At 43.7% G+C, this 15,181-nt stretch overlaps 1 long non-coding RNA gene across 2 annotated transcripts, besides 1 other annotated feature; it reads right to left on the bottom strand.

Moving 5' to 3' along the window:
* Nucleotides 8,210-10,061: an enhancer, noted in NCBI's record as "VISTA enhancer hs1180". NCBI's record gives its function as "enhancer in: midbrain (mesencephalon)[5/6]" and the evidence as "EXISTENCE:transgenic organism evidence [ECO:0001131][PMID:17130149]".
* LOC107985141 (uncharacterized) lies at nucleotides 9,343-15,181 on the bottom strand. 2 transcript variants are annotated; one of them, XR_001753376.1, is made up of 3 exons: nucleotides 13,784-15,181; nucleotides 12,107-12,458; nucleotides 9,343-9,940 (listed from the first exon to the last, which is right to left on the bottom strand). It is a non-coding gene; the product is annotated as an uncharacterized LOC107985141 (long non-coding RNA). The 2 variants fall into 2 exon arrangements; XR_001753375.1 differs by lacking the exon at nucleotides 13,784-15,181 and having other exon boundaries at nucleotides 12,107-12,802.

The raw sequence follows: 15,181 nt of genomic DNA on the forward strand, positions 1-15,181 counted from the left end.
TATATGTGCATAAAAGGGGCCAGGCGTGGTGCCTCACACCTGTAATCCCAGCACTTTGGGAGGCAGAGGTGAGTGGATCACCTGAGGTCAGCAGTTCGAGACCAGCCTGGCTAACATGGTGAAACCCCATCTCTACTAAAAATACAAAAATTAGCCAGGCGTGGTGGTGGGCACCTGTAATCCCAGCTACTCAAGAGGCTGAGGCAGGACAATCGCTTGAACCCAGGAGGCGGAGTTTGCAGTGAGCCGAAATCGCACCACTGCACTCCAGCCTGGGGGACAGGGCGAGACTCTGTCTCAAAACAAACAAACAAAACTAAACAAACAAAAAAACCCCATACAATATATGTGCATAAAAGGAAATGTTTACACTCCCTGAAAACTGTGTCTTATTTCTTGTTCCCCAGAGCTTAGTAAGATGCCTGACACATTGTAATCACTTCATACCTTCTAAATGAATTCAAACTTTGAATCAAGTTCAGGCTCTGACTTTAAACTCAGCAAATGACCCTACCTTCAGTTTATAAAACTGGCCAATAACTGAAACTAAAAATCAGATTGCACATTGTTCTTTGAGCAAAGCCATCTGTCAGGATTTTTAAAAATTAGAATATCTCAGAATGACCGCAACTGGACTCAATTTGGGTGGTGTACCCCTGACCCAATCTCCCCATTATCTTTCAGCAAATTCCAAAGAGCCTGCTTGTGCCCCAATGCCCAGCTGCTGGGTAAAAATAATGATGTTGAATCAATCTGGAAGCAGCCACCAATATGAGTAGACTTCAAGAAAGAAGCTCTTCTTGATGTTGTGTTTTCTCCAACCGCAAATGGAGTAGTTTTTCACTATAGCCACTCCAAAGAAAAAAGAAGGACCTGTTAGAAGAACAGGAAAGAAAAGCTAGTGATATACTTTCAGAACAAGAACAGAAAGTAGGTGATTCACATTATTTAAACCTTTAAAAAAGAAAAGTACCCCAGTCAGAATAGCCATTCTTAAAAAGTCAGAAAACAACAGATGTTGGCAAGGTTGCAGAGAAAAGGGAACACATATACACTGTTGGTGGGAATGTAAATTAGTACAACCTCTATGGACAATAGTATGGAGATTTCTCACAGAACTAGAAAGAGAATGACCATTTGATCCAGCAATTTCACTACTGGGTATCTACCTGCAAGAAAAGAAATCATCATATCAAAAGACACCTCCATTCGTATGTTTATTGCAGCACTATTCACAATAGCAAAGTCATGGAATCAACCTGTGTCCATCAGTGAAGGACTGGATAAAGGAAATGTGGTAAATATATGCCATGGAATACTACTCAGCCATGAAAAAGAAAGAACTCATGTCTTCTGCAGCAACATGGATGGAGCTTGAGGCCATTATCCTAAGTAAAATGAGCCAAAAACAGAAGGTCAAAACCCATGTTCTCACCTGTAAGTGAGAGCTAAACAATGAATACACATGGACATACAGAGTGGACTAATAGACACTGGAGACTAAAGAAAGGGGGAGGGTAGAGGGGTGAAATGCTACCAGTCAGGTACAGGGTACACTATTCAGATGACGGTTACACTAAAAGCCCAGACTTTACCACTACACAATATATCCATGTGTATTAGTCAGGGCTCTCTAGAGGGACAGAACTAATAGGAGACATCTACCTATCTATCTATCTATCTATCTATATGGGAATTTACTAAGTATTAACTTACATGATCACAAATTCCCACAATAGGTTGTCTGCAAGCTTGAGGAGCAAGGAGAGCCAGTCTGCTTCCCAGACCTTCATCCTCTGTCATTAGTATCATACATGTCCTTTGATTTCCCTCTTCTTCAGGAAAGCACTTGAGGATGCTTCTTTCCAGAGCACCTCTTTTCCCTGCACATTGCTCCTCCTTTCTTAGTCTGAAGGAACTGAAACTGACATTTAGTCTGACCTAAATTTGTCTCCATTATTTGTCCAAAGGTAAGAACGGCATATAGCTGGCACGTGCACTACCACAGCCTCTGCCTCGAGTGGCCATGGCAGACACTGCCATTCAATCCTGGTCTGAACACAACCCCCTTCCCAACACAGCTGTCTACATCCTACCCGTCAGAGCAGGCACACCATGTGAAACTTCTCTGCCATTCCTTGCCTAGTGGCTCTGTACACAGTGTTCCTAAGGTAGGTTTGCAGCTTTGGTTCCAACTCTCAAGCAAAAAGAAGCTTTATCTCCTTGGTTATTTGCAAGGGAGATTCGAAGAGAATCTGGGGAATAATAGTGTTAGCTTTATTAATAGCTGATGAGCCTATAGGTCTGAGATGCTTACACATGGGCCTCTTCGGGAAGAGGGAAGACTACATTATTACTAAAGTCCCTTCCTTAGGAAGACACATTGCAAAGAAAGCCAGAAACTCAAGAAGTTTGTTCACATTAGTTCTGCCTTGTTCTTTTATCATTACCCAGCTGAAATGTCTCAGGCAGTCATATTAGGGTAATGATAAGATTGGCTTTATACATCATGGAAGTGCATGCAAAACTATGGGATTTAGAGAATTGTAAAGCTAGAAAGAGCCTTAGAGGTTCTTGAATCCAACCTTCTTAGAAGAAACTGAAACCCAGATAAGTGAAGTGACCTGTCGTAGGTTCCTAAACCCAATAGCAGCCGAGCAAGGCCTTAGATGAGACCACAGGATCTTGTAGTCAGGTGTATCCTGCTGGGCTCAGTTTCTTCCTCCATGGACTCATGGAGGATCCCCATGTTACATCCTTATTCTGCTTTGTGGTGTGAGACATTCTTCAGTGGGGGGCGCATTTGTATGAAAGAGGGTTTGCAATGACAATAATAACTACCTACACATTTTTGTTGATGAATGGTTCTGGATATGAGTAATTGAAATACAAGGTGACATTGAGTTTGTTATTCTTGGATGGAAAAGGGATAAAACTCTAGATGGCAGCCTTTTCAGATAAAATATATGAAACAAGGGAAAGGTATGATACACGAAGATAAGAAACTAGAATGATTAAATCCATGAAGACACCTATTAGTACCATTTCTTCTAAGTCAGGAAGTGAGATGAAAGGCCTGGGCTCTTCTCCCAACATTCTGTGCCCTTGGGAAAAGAGTGGGCACCCTACGTGGCAATGTGCAGGCAGAGGACAATAAATTCATCCCAAACCAACCCTAGTTCACTTTTTTCATCGGCTTGAAAGGAGCTTTCTATTTGATTGCTTTGGGGAGATAATTAAAGTGGGACACGTGGCTATATGTAACCAAAATTTGTCAACATTGGTTATATTTAAATAAGACTTTCAACAGTGGTCTCACTTCTTGGTTGAAATCACACACAAAACACAGACATTTCATGGTTTCTTGCAAGCTCTTCCCTTCTCAGGGTGGAAGGGAAGTCTGAAAGAAAACATTTGCATAGATTCAGGCCAAAAGTAGCCTATCTTTGACTTTGTATGAGGGATTAGTGGCGAAGTGTTTATTTTGTTCCTTTTGAAATAGCTAGACAATGTACTGACTTTTCTACTGAAGATTTTAAGCCCAAAAAGCCCATCTAACAATCCCTCCCCTGGACCACTACGTTTTTCCTAAATGCCCAGAGCAGAGCATTTCAAGAGGTAGGGATGCTGTTAGTCCATTTGTATCTTCCTCTCCACAATTCTGACCTCATGCTCTGTACCATTTAGTCTTAGGAACTCACATATATGCACACACACACATACACACACACGTATGCATGTACACAGACATATGCGCACACGCAGGTATGCATGTGTACACACACGTACACACACACTCCTGCACCTGCCACAAGCTGCAAGGTTGTCCAGTGTCTCCATCAGATGATCCCCAAGTCCCTCACAGGCTTTCAAACTCTGGCAAGCCACTTTTCACCACAAATTCCAGTTTCTCAGGGCTTTCAGACACCCTGTAGATGTAATGATACACTCTCGGTTACTGCAATAATAATAATAATTTATACGCACGGTAGCCTTTCATCCATGAATGTTTTAACAATGACAAGTGCTACAGGAGCCCAGAGCAAAGCCTCTGGCCTCTCCCTGCAGCACCCAGCCCTCGCATGGGAGACATCATAGATCTCTCATTCTTCATGCCAACACCTCATAACCATTTCAGGCAGGAAGTAAGGAAATCTGTCCAGTCAAAACTGCAGAAAGGAGTTAGGTAATATAACACCTTTTATTTCTCTTCCCCAGAAACTCTGAGAAATGCACCAATTTGCAGAATAAACTACCCCCAGACAGTCCCCTTGAATTGTTGGTTTTGCCTGGGGATTACATATTTCCTGCGGTAGATTTTCTTCTTTCTTTGTCTTATTTCCACCCAGTACCAAATTTATTTAAAGAATAAGATAAAAATATCTATATGGCTAGGCTATCAGCCCCTCACATGAAGAGTGTGACTGTTCTATATTTACCTATCATTTAAAGATATCCCTATGAGACATATACTCTTTTCATAAAAGGCAGTATGTCCAATAGACCAAAAATTAAAATGAAGAAGGAGGCAGAAGAGGAGACTGATAAGAAGAGGAGAAGGGAGGGGAAGCAGCAGGTACATTCTCAAGAAAACAGCATCGGCCAGGCACGGTGGCTCATGCCTGTAATCCCAGCACTTTGGGCAGGAGTTCAAGAGCAGCCCAGCCAACATGAAGAAATTCTGTCTCTACTAAAAATACAAAAATTAGCTGTGGCGGCACACACCTGTAATCTGAGCTCCTCGGGGGACTGAGGCATGAGAATTGCTTGAACCCGGGAGGCAGAGGTTGCAGTGAGCTGAGATGGCGCCACTGCACTCCAGCCTGGGTAACAGAGCAAAGAGAGACAGGGAGAGAGAGAGAGGGAGAGAGGGAGAGAGAGAGAGGGAGAGAGAGAGAGAGGGAGAGAGGGAGAGAGAGAGAGAGAGAGGGAGAGAGAGAGAGAGAGAGGGAGAGAGAGAGAGAGGGAGAGAGAGAGAGGGAGAGAGAGAGAGGGAGAGAGAGAGAGAGGGAGAGAGAGAGAGAGAGGGAGAGGGAGAGAGAGAGAGGGGGGAGAGAGAGAGAGAGGGAGAGGGAGAGAGAGAGAGGGAGAGAGAGAGAGGGAGAGAGAGAGAGGGAGAGAGAGAGGGGGGGAGAGGGAGAGAGGGGGGGGAGAGAGAGAGAGAGAGAGAGAGAGAGGGAGAGGGAGAGAGAGAGAGAGGGAGAGAGGGGGGGGGGGGAGAGAGAGAGAACCACAACATGGAGGGGAGAAACACAGCCTGGAGACAGCTGGTTTTAAATCTTACCTCTGTAAACATTGATGAGGCCACGCTGACCATCAGTCTCCTTGTTGGTAAATGGAGATTAGAATCCATCCTTCTACAGTTGTTGTGAGGATTAAATAATAATTGGGACGTTTCTGGCACAGAGTAGGTACTCTTATTCCTGTGAATTCTGAAAACTGAGATGATTTGTGCTCATGGATAAGCTACCAGATGGTATCACTTTGCACTTACTGTTTCTTTTAGATGCTTTCAACCTGCTATTAAACCTGTGCTGTTGCATCAAATTATCCATTCACTGGCTTCAGGATAGTGAAGAGTTGGGCAAATAGGCTTCTGAGTTACCAGGAATGAAGCACAGGGCACCACGGGCAAGCCTGGACAGGATCCCTAACCCAGTCCTGGACGTTAGAGACAAAGTGAGGTCTAACAATTCCTTGACTCCCTTTCTATACCCTTAAAGATGTACCCAAGGTAATTTCTTTACATTCCATAGTGATTGTTGGTTTTTCTTTTTTTAGTGATTTAAAAAAGGCAGAGGGTCTAAAAGAGCACAGCAGTGGTTCAGATTTTAGCTCAGAAATTGCTTGAGAAGATAACCAATTGACCAATCCCTGTAACCAATCTATCTTCCTACAATAAATGGATCTTGATGAACCTTCCAAGAAGCCCTAAAAATGCCTGAGTCCTAATGAAACCTAACCATTATTCACCTGTGAGAGTCATTCACTTAGGGTAGGCCAGCTGGGAGCTATTTATCATTTAAGACAAGGAGAAACACCTGTGTCATCGGTGTGCCCATGAGGCACCAAAGGTAATTAGGATGGCAGCTGCCCTTCCTGACCAGATGCAGCTCCTTTTATCCTTTCTTTTCTTGATCTCCTTATTCCTTATTTCTCTTCCTAGTTACGTGTCCTGTCTTTTTCTCTCCTTCCAGTCATCTGTGCCTAGAACCTGCAAACCATACCAAGAAGCATGAACCATGCTGTTAAATAGCTTTGACTTCTGTCTTGCAATATCATCACAGCCTTCCTCAATAAATACACAAGGAAAGCATTGGTGGGATGCCAAATAATAGAACAACAAGCACAGTGCAAACCTGGGAGTGTCCCTCTAGTGAGAGAAAATGCAGATGGCCTGAGATTTGGTCCTACTGACCTGAAGAGCAAGCACACTAACATTCAACATTCACTCAACAAGCATTTCATTAAGCATTCGTGCATCAAGTCTTTTCCATCAGACATGGATAATCATAGCCCACAATCTACTGGGGAGACATATAAAAAATAAGTCGTTAAAATGCAGTGTATTGATAACTGTCTAGTCTAACTAAATCCCTGCAGGGAAAAGGGGAGTGGATAGAGAGATAACCTGAAGCCTCTTCTTCAAAGTCACTCCCACTGATTTATTCTGTGGCCTTGGATAAGTCACTTAAAACTGTGCTCCTATAAAATGTGATCAATGACAACTAATTATAGCTGGGTTATGGGAATGACCATGATAATCAACATGAAAATAATTTGAAGTATTTAGGAGGAAAGTGCTATATAAAAACAAGGTATTTTTTGCTGCTGTGTGGTCAATTTTCAAAGACTAACTTCTCCATAAAATATGGGTGTATTCTTTATCTCTTGTTAGCAGATAGGTTCTCTCCCTCTTTTGCATGCTTACCTGCATCCGCTGCCCTTCACGTTGGCTGAGTTTTCCCGTCAGCACATAAGTGAGGGCCTCTTGTGGGCCCCACACTGGGAAGGCCCTGATAATAGGGCAGTGAGTGAAATACATGCAGTTTTAATCAAAGAAATGTCTCTTTCCAGCTATAAACAGAATGTCCTATTTCTGTATGTTGTGTTTTCTTTAGGGTTTTGTGATTTTCTTTGAAAATGTATGTTTGGGCCATAGTGCTGAAGAGCCCAGAGTGTGAAGGCCAGGCAGGCCTGGGATTCACTTTCCTCTGGGTAAGAAACTGAAGGCAAATTGAGCTGAGCTGAGGGCTCGGGAACTGCACACATGGCTGCGGGTTGTGTTTTTGGGGAAGGGGTGCAGGCACAGCACAAATCACACCCCTGCAGGTGGGGCTAGAATTTCCCCTGAAAGAAATGGATGTTCCACTGGGAATCTTTCTGGGGAAAGCTGTGTCTTAGGACTGGAAATGGAGACTCAGGAGGTGGGGCTCGGAGTGGGATAAGGAGAAAAACATCCTCCTTGTTCTGCAGCTTGAGGGGCATGGGAGCGAGAGGCCGGAGAAGCAAGGCACACTCCTGGTGGGGCATAGGCCTGCGGGTGCAACCAGGGACAGCTGTTGATGGACCCGGGGCATGGGCCACGGCCAGCCTGTATAGGTCATTATATGTGATTCACTCGTTCAGCTGCCCCCAAATCCACAAATCTTATTACTTGTTGAGAGCCCATGGGAAATGAAGGGAAATGGTGTGTCCACCATTGGAGATAGATGAGCCAAGGGGAGGGCAGTGGTCTCCTGTAGAGGATGATTGTGCCCTGCTGAGTGGCAATTCCTTGAGGCCTCTTGGTAACAGGCCCAAGGGGAGGAGGTCATGGATGCAGAAAGACATGCAGAACCCATTCCACGCATGCCTGAGCCGGACCCAGAAAGCGATGGGGCGCTTTAATACAGGGCAAGCTAGCAACAGTTCATGCCATTGTAACTGAAATTGTACAGATAATAAGATATGTCCAACAGGTTATGGTAAAAATTACCAGCAAGCCAATCTAATGTATCAAAAAATAAAAATTCGATGGTGTCTTTTTGTGCCCCAACAAAAGAGGTTTCTAGGAGGAACTGGACCTAATGATAAGATTTGAGAGGAGGAACGCCATGGACAGGTGTGAAGGGTTTCCAGAGAGGAAAGCAGGTGAGGCAGGGGCCCACCTGGAGCTTTCCATGGGCTGTGGTGTGGGGAGGTGGCAGGAGACCCAGGCGGCCCCAGCTGAGGAGAGATGGGGTTGAATATGCGACTCGGCACTAGCTTTTTAAAATAAAGTGACTGATTTCCCTGCACTCGCTTCCTTGGGCTGTCTACCTGGGGATGGTGCAGTCCAAGTGGCTCAGTGTCTGGGGAATTTGATCTAAACAGAAAGCCCATCAGGAAAATTCGGCCTCTGCAGATAGTCCACTTATTTCTCATTAACAGGGGTTTGGGTTTGAATTATGTTGATAATTGCCTCAACTCTCCACTTCATTTTGCCTGTAGACACTTACCCTCAGAGGGGTATTTTGAGGATAAATGAGATACAGGCAAAGTGCTTTGAACTCCTGAGATGAAAGGTAGCATATCAATACAGGCCTTCTATTATTAAGATGCTTCAAATTGCCAATACGTGTATATTTATAATACCCATTACAATCATGGGATATCTTTTCTCTCCTTTTTTATTTTTTATAAGAAGAAGGCAGGAAAATCTAATTTTTTTAACCACACTGCTTTTGTGCACTTAACATTAACCTTTCCTTCCAAATGTCATTAGCTGCTAATTAAGATGTTGATTTGCAGATTGTATATCTTGCAATAGAAGTGATTTGTGAACGCTTACTAGGTGTTTATCAACCTACACCACTCATATTGGTTTAGCAAGAGCCTGGTGCATTTTAATTTACTGAGCAGTTTCCCAATTCTCCACTTACTTCTCCATGTGCATAATGAGAAAAAAAAATGATAAGAGAGGAAAAATGGGAAATACTATAAATAGTTGCTAAAGAAAAATACCATAGGAAAGAGTTATGGCTCTAAGTAGGTACTAAAAGACTGAACAGATTGAATTTATTTTCTCTCTTTAATGGGATACTTTAAGGCATAAAATGTGCATGTCGGTTATGTGAGCAGGTGTGTACCTGTATGGATGTGTGCACGTACAAACTGATTATAGTCAGCAAAAGGAAAATGATGGACAGACTTTCTGAATTTTCTGCAATGCACATGCTTTTGTTTTCCAGGGTTGGCCTGTGCCTTTGCCATGCACCTATCTGTAAGATTTCACAAAGAACCTTCTTGCTTCTCAAATCACCCTTAAATCAAAGAAATACAAGAATCATTTAGTTCCTGCAAAGGATTCTGCAACATGGGGACATTTCCACAGGACTTTTTAATATAATTTATGAATATTTGCTAGCAACATAATTGTCTTTTCTGCTGACATTTTCAAAGCAACACTGTGATTTGTTGGGTCTCTGGAGAGTCCAACTACAAAACTGATAATTATATTAAATATACATAGACAATAAAGAGTGTGTTTACATAACTATGCCCATAAATATCTGATTGAACAGTCATTGTTCTCAAACCCCTTTTAAGCAGCTCTCTAAGGATTCCAGTTCTAATGACATGATGGTTTAAAAGATGTTGCTCAGTCTTGTTCCATATTTAATTAACTTTCCTTTTTTAAACTTGTGATGGCAGAGACAATAACAAATAGCTCTGAAAAGAGAAAGCGCTTTGAAACATGAGTGAGGCCTTGTCAGGCTTTGTGCGGCACAGACAGGAGGAGATGGGCGTGTGAGCATCGCTGGCCTGGGACCTCCGGCCCTCCCCTGGGATTCTATTATGAGGCCATTCAGAGCTCTCTAATCCCGTACACCTTCTCTCGCACACATGCATCTGTGTATCCAGGCTTCGTGCACATGCTCTTGCATGTAAGCAGCTGCATCTCTAATGATTTCTTCCTCTGGAAACAAAAAGATGAAAGCAAATTGGAAAACCAGCAAGATCTGAGAAGCAGGAGGCAGAGGCAGGGTAGTGTAGTGGAAAGAACAGGGGGCTGGCCCTTGGCTCTAACCACTGCATTTTAATCTTGGATAAGTGTATTCATTTCTTACTGCTGCCATAACAAATTACAAACTTGGTGGCATAGAACAACACTAAAGTATTACCTTATACTTCTGGCGGTCAGAAGTCAGAAGTGAGCTTCATAGAGCTAAAATCAAGGTGTCAGCTGGGCTGCTTCCTTCTGGAGGCCCTAGTGAAGAATCTGTTTTCTAGAGGTTTCCATATTTCTTGGCTCACAAGGTGTTTCCACCTTCAAAGCCTTCAGTGGCTGGTTAAGTCTTTCCTATATCACATCTCTCTTACCCTGACTTTCCTGCGCCTGTTTTCCTTTTTTGTTTTCTTTTTTCTTTCTTTTTTTTTTTTTTTTTTTTTTTGAGACAGAGTCTCACTCTGTCACCTAGGCTGGAGTGCAGTGGTGCGATCTTGGCTCACTGCAACCTCTGCCTCCCGGGTTCAGGTGATTCTCCGGCCTCAGCCTCCCAAGTAGCTAGGACTACAGGCATGTGCCACCATGCCCAGCTAAGTTGTTTTTTTTTTTTTTTTTTTTTTTTTTTTAGGCTTTTTAGTAGAGACAGGGTTTCACCATGCTACCTGGATGGTCTCGATCTCCTGACCTCGTGATCTGCCCGCCTCGGCCTCCCAAAGTGCTGGGATTACAGGTGTGAGCCACCACGCCTGGCCTGTCTTCCATTTTTAAGTACCCCTGTTACTACACTGGATCCATTCAGCTAATCTACAACGATCCCCTTATCTCAAGATCCTTAATCACATCTGCGAAGTCCTTCTGCCTTTAAGTTAACATATTCACAGGTTCCAGGGATTAGGACGTGGACACCTTTGGGGGCCATTATTCTGCCTACCACAGTAAGTCAACTAATATTATCTGTTAATGAGGGAGGCAGTATGAAGTAGATTTGTTCATCCAACAAATTAAGGTCTGGATGACACAATAGTAAATAAGATAAACTCAATCCCTGTCCTCAACAGAGCTTTCAGTATTAAGGGAGAGATAAGCATTATCCAGAAAAAGTAAACACGGCTAATTTCCGCTGTGTGAAAGGCTACAGAAAGAAGTGTAAGCATGAGGAGAGTGTTTTACAAAGCAATCTGGCCTACCTGTAGGTGAAAGGGGCAGGAGCAGTCAAGGAAGGCTTCCCTGAGGAGGTGACATTAAAACAGAGACGTAAGAAATGACTTGGAGTTATTCAGGTCAAGTATGTGCAGAGGGTGGGCCTGGTGGAGGAGCTGATGAGGAACTTCCAGTAAGAGGGCATAGCCAATGCCCGCATTTAGGCTCGGAGTGTGGAGTGGAGGAACTGAGAAGTGCCTGGGGCTAGCATGTAGAGACAAGAAGAAGAAAGCTTTGCTATCTCATCTATTGAGCTAAGGGAGGCAGTGGGAAGTTAATGCTTACAGGCATTAGCCAAAGGTCAGGCACTGCTCCATGAGGTTTATATGGAGCTGATTCCTGTAAGATAGATACTATCACAATCTTCATTTGTAGATCATAAAACTGAAAGTCAGAGAAGCTACATGACCTCCCCAAGGTAACCCATCTGGCAGAACCAGGACTCACACTAGAGTGTGCCCTCAATCACCGTGCAATCACTGTCCTGCTTCTCAGGCAGGATTGCGGGACCTGGACATTTAACCATTATTCTAAGGGCAATTGGGAGCCATAGAGGAATTTCAAACACTTTAGATGGAGTACTCTGGGTAATTGATTGGAGACATCAGACCAGGGAGGAAGCAGTAACTCTCAGGTGAAACAATATCGGCCCAGTCTGCATGGCAACAGTATGGATGGGGAGAAATGGAGAGATTCAGTAAATATTGAGAGTCAAATCGACAAGTCTTGCTTATTGATGTGGGGTGAAGGACAGAAGGAGGTGTTAAAGATGATGCCCTTGCTTCCAGCCAGATCGTAATAGAAGGAGCCGTCAGTTTTATCCTTCTCAAGCAAAGGGCTCATGTGAAGCTGCGGACGACAAATGTAAACATATGCTAAAACCCTAAAACCAAGGAGGAGCTTCTTACATGAATAAGAAAATAAGCTAGGACTTACAGGTGTGAGTGGATTTCAACTTCTCAATGAAAATTCAGCAGAATTGCTCTGTGGCAGTCCTTCTGCAAGAGGCGAATCCTGCTCACCATCACTGCTATGATTCTGTGTTTGTGCTGAGCTCTTTCTAATTATCATCAATTATGATTCATTTACTTTTAGGTGTCTTGCTTGTCATAATATTATCATTTGTAAGTCTTTCCCTTTGCAGGCTGTGAGAATCTGTTGTGACATCTCAATAAAGCAGTATTCAATCAAGGTGTGAATGAATTGTTAATCTTGTTATAAATAGAAGGTACCATATGTCAGGATGCAAGGGATGTCTCCTTCTTTGTTGCAAACAATGTTCCTGAAACTAAACAAAAGAAGTTTCGGAAATAGCTGGTTCAGCTCACCAAGCTTCCAATTATATAATGGCCGACAAGTCTCCGAAGTGGATTCAGATTTCTGGTAGTCGTCTCCCCACTTATTTAGAATCATCATTTGAAAGAAAAAATTAGTGTCAGGTTTGGGTATCGGAACCCCAGGGATCTCCATTCCTCCTGATTTTGACTGTGGAGTTAGCCTTACAATTCTCTGTGTCTTCTAGAGGCACATCCGACGAGCCATTTGATCAAAATATCTTTTTCCTTCTTTACCTTTTCCCCATGGTGTGCGGATTTAGAAAAATAAGGCTAAACTGACTGAGCTCCAGCCCAAACCAGTTCATGAAAAATATACCGTGAATCTTTTTTTACACGTGCACTCTCAGCGGTGAGGGCTCTGGCCCGCTCTGTCCCTGATAACACATCCTAAATGTGCTCCTCAGCACCTGCAGCAGTGTGTTTTCTGAGGAAAGCCTGCGTGTGCTCAGAGGTCCAGCAAACGCCAGAACCAATAAAGCTTAAATTAGCATCCCATAATCTAGAGCTATTTCCCCGCTGCTCTTCCAGAGCCCTCCCCAACGCCTCCTCCTCCCCCAACTCCTAACCCAATCAAAATGTGTTTGTACCTTGTTCCATTTCTTCAGGGCCTCTCTAAGTGACTAGCTTGTTAGTTCAAGATAAAGTTAATGGCTAATAATATTTCTCCCCCAGTGCCCAGTGGCATTTCCACTGAGGATCAATGCAGAATGGTGGAAAGAGCTTGGATTTTGGCATCAGCCTTGTTTGGGTCCAAGTGCTGGCTTTTCTATTCACTAGCTGAGTGTTCTGGCTGTATTTTTGGGTATTTGTTTGTTTTGAGACAGTTTCTCTCTGTTACCCGGGCTGGAGAGCAATGGCACAATCTCGGCTCACTGCAACCTCTATCTCCTGGGCTCAAGTGATTCTCCTGCCTCAGCTTCCCCAATAGATGGGATTATAGATGCCCGCCACCATGCCTGGATAATTTTTGTGTTTTTAGTAGAGATGAGGTTTCACCATGTTGGCCAGGATGGTCTCGAACTCCTGACCTCAGATGATCTACCTGCCTTGGTCTCCCAAAGTGCTGGGATTGGAGGCGTGAGCCACCATGCCCAGCCTGGCTGTTTTTTCTAAAAAGTTTTTAGAGATTATAGCCCCACCTGTAAAATCGTGATTCATACATCTTGGAGTTGCTATGAGGATAAAAGAAAATAATGTGTGTTAAGCAGCTAGTACAGAAACTGGCCTATTTATTGACAATTGGGCAGAGGCCAGATGCAGCCCCCTGGATACCCACCTCAGCCATCAGTCACACTGACCATCTGGAGACTGGGATTGTCATTCCCTTCTTCTCTCCAGCATTTTCTCCTTCCCCTCTTTTATTCCTGCCTTCCTTCCTTTTATTTTTCCTTTCTTCTTTCTTTTCCGGTGGTTCATTGAGCTCCTGCTGGCTTCAGAAGATGCTGTCTCCTTATTTTTCACTGTTACTAATACAGGGTGCAAAGTGCATCATGGCACAAAATATGAGAAGGTGCAAAGTGCCGTGCCTGGTAAAGAGCCATTTAGAACAATAGCCCTTCTGCCCTATCTCTCCAACATTCACTGTCAACTTGTTTCACAATAGTCATTAAAGACACGAAGGAAGTGTTGATAAGCTCCGTGATTCATTCAAGGGCCAAGGTTAATTTTTATTTATTCCCAGGTCATCACAAACAGAGGCAGATGGTGGTGGCATTTCCTTCTTGCTGGGAGCTCAGATACTATCTGGACAGATTTCAGCAGGCTTTGTATCTGCTACCTCTCAGCGCCACAGTTTTCCTGGATAAAGCCCCAGCCACCCAAACTGCAGACTGATTTTATTTAACCAAGATGACTTGCAGTAAGTAATTGAGGTCACTTGGACCTTGCTGGAGGAAAGCCAGCATTGCCAAGGAGAATGGCTGACATCGTTTATCCTTCAGTGGCTCTTCCTTTAGAGGATTTATTTTTGGTGACCCATTTGGGAGGTAGCTTACTAAGCTGTGACTATCAGTTTATTGAAAAGTGACTTTCTTGGAATTTTACTAGTATCAGGTGACTTTGGGATGGTTTGAAACAACTGGCTGTGGAATCTACTTATGTAGCGCTATAGAAACGATCATAAAGTCATATCCAGAGTTAATTGGTTTCCTGCTACACACGTGTAAGTAGACTATGTGGCTCCTACTTTCAGAGCTTACATTCCAGGTGAAGACAGCAGTCATAGCATATTCACAAATAAAGCCTGAGACTGTAATGTAGTATATGGTTGGTGCATTTGTGGGCAGCGTACAAATGCCAGTCAAGTGCCCATCCTGCTCCTTCAGGCTCACAGAAAACTGAGAACAGCACAGGGAGATAGATGAAGAGCAAAGAGTATCAGCTTTACTCCTGGCTGGATGGAACCCAGTAACTCCTCAAAGCAGAGCTTCCAGTTGGTCTGGAACCAAAGAACAGCTTCCATGTGGCTTCCCCCAAGTAGACTTGGAGGTCTCTCCGGGGAGTTGGGTCTTCACATCAGACTGACCAGCACACTGCAGGGATCATGAGGCCAACTTGGGCCGAGCAACAGACAGATCAGAAAGCACCAAAGTGAGACCAAATTGAGGCCCCAGAATTGGCTCTTGCCTCTGTTAATGTGGCCCAGTGGTTGCCAGCTTCTCCCGATCTTACCAAA

This window comes from Homo sapiens, chromosome 18 (assembly GCF_000001405.40).
Source record: "Homo sapiens chromosome 18, GRCh38.p14 Primary Assembly".
Classification (NCBI taxonomy): Eukaryota; Metazoa; Chordata; class Mammalia; order Primates; family Hominidae; genus Homo; species Homo sapiens.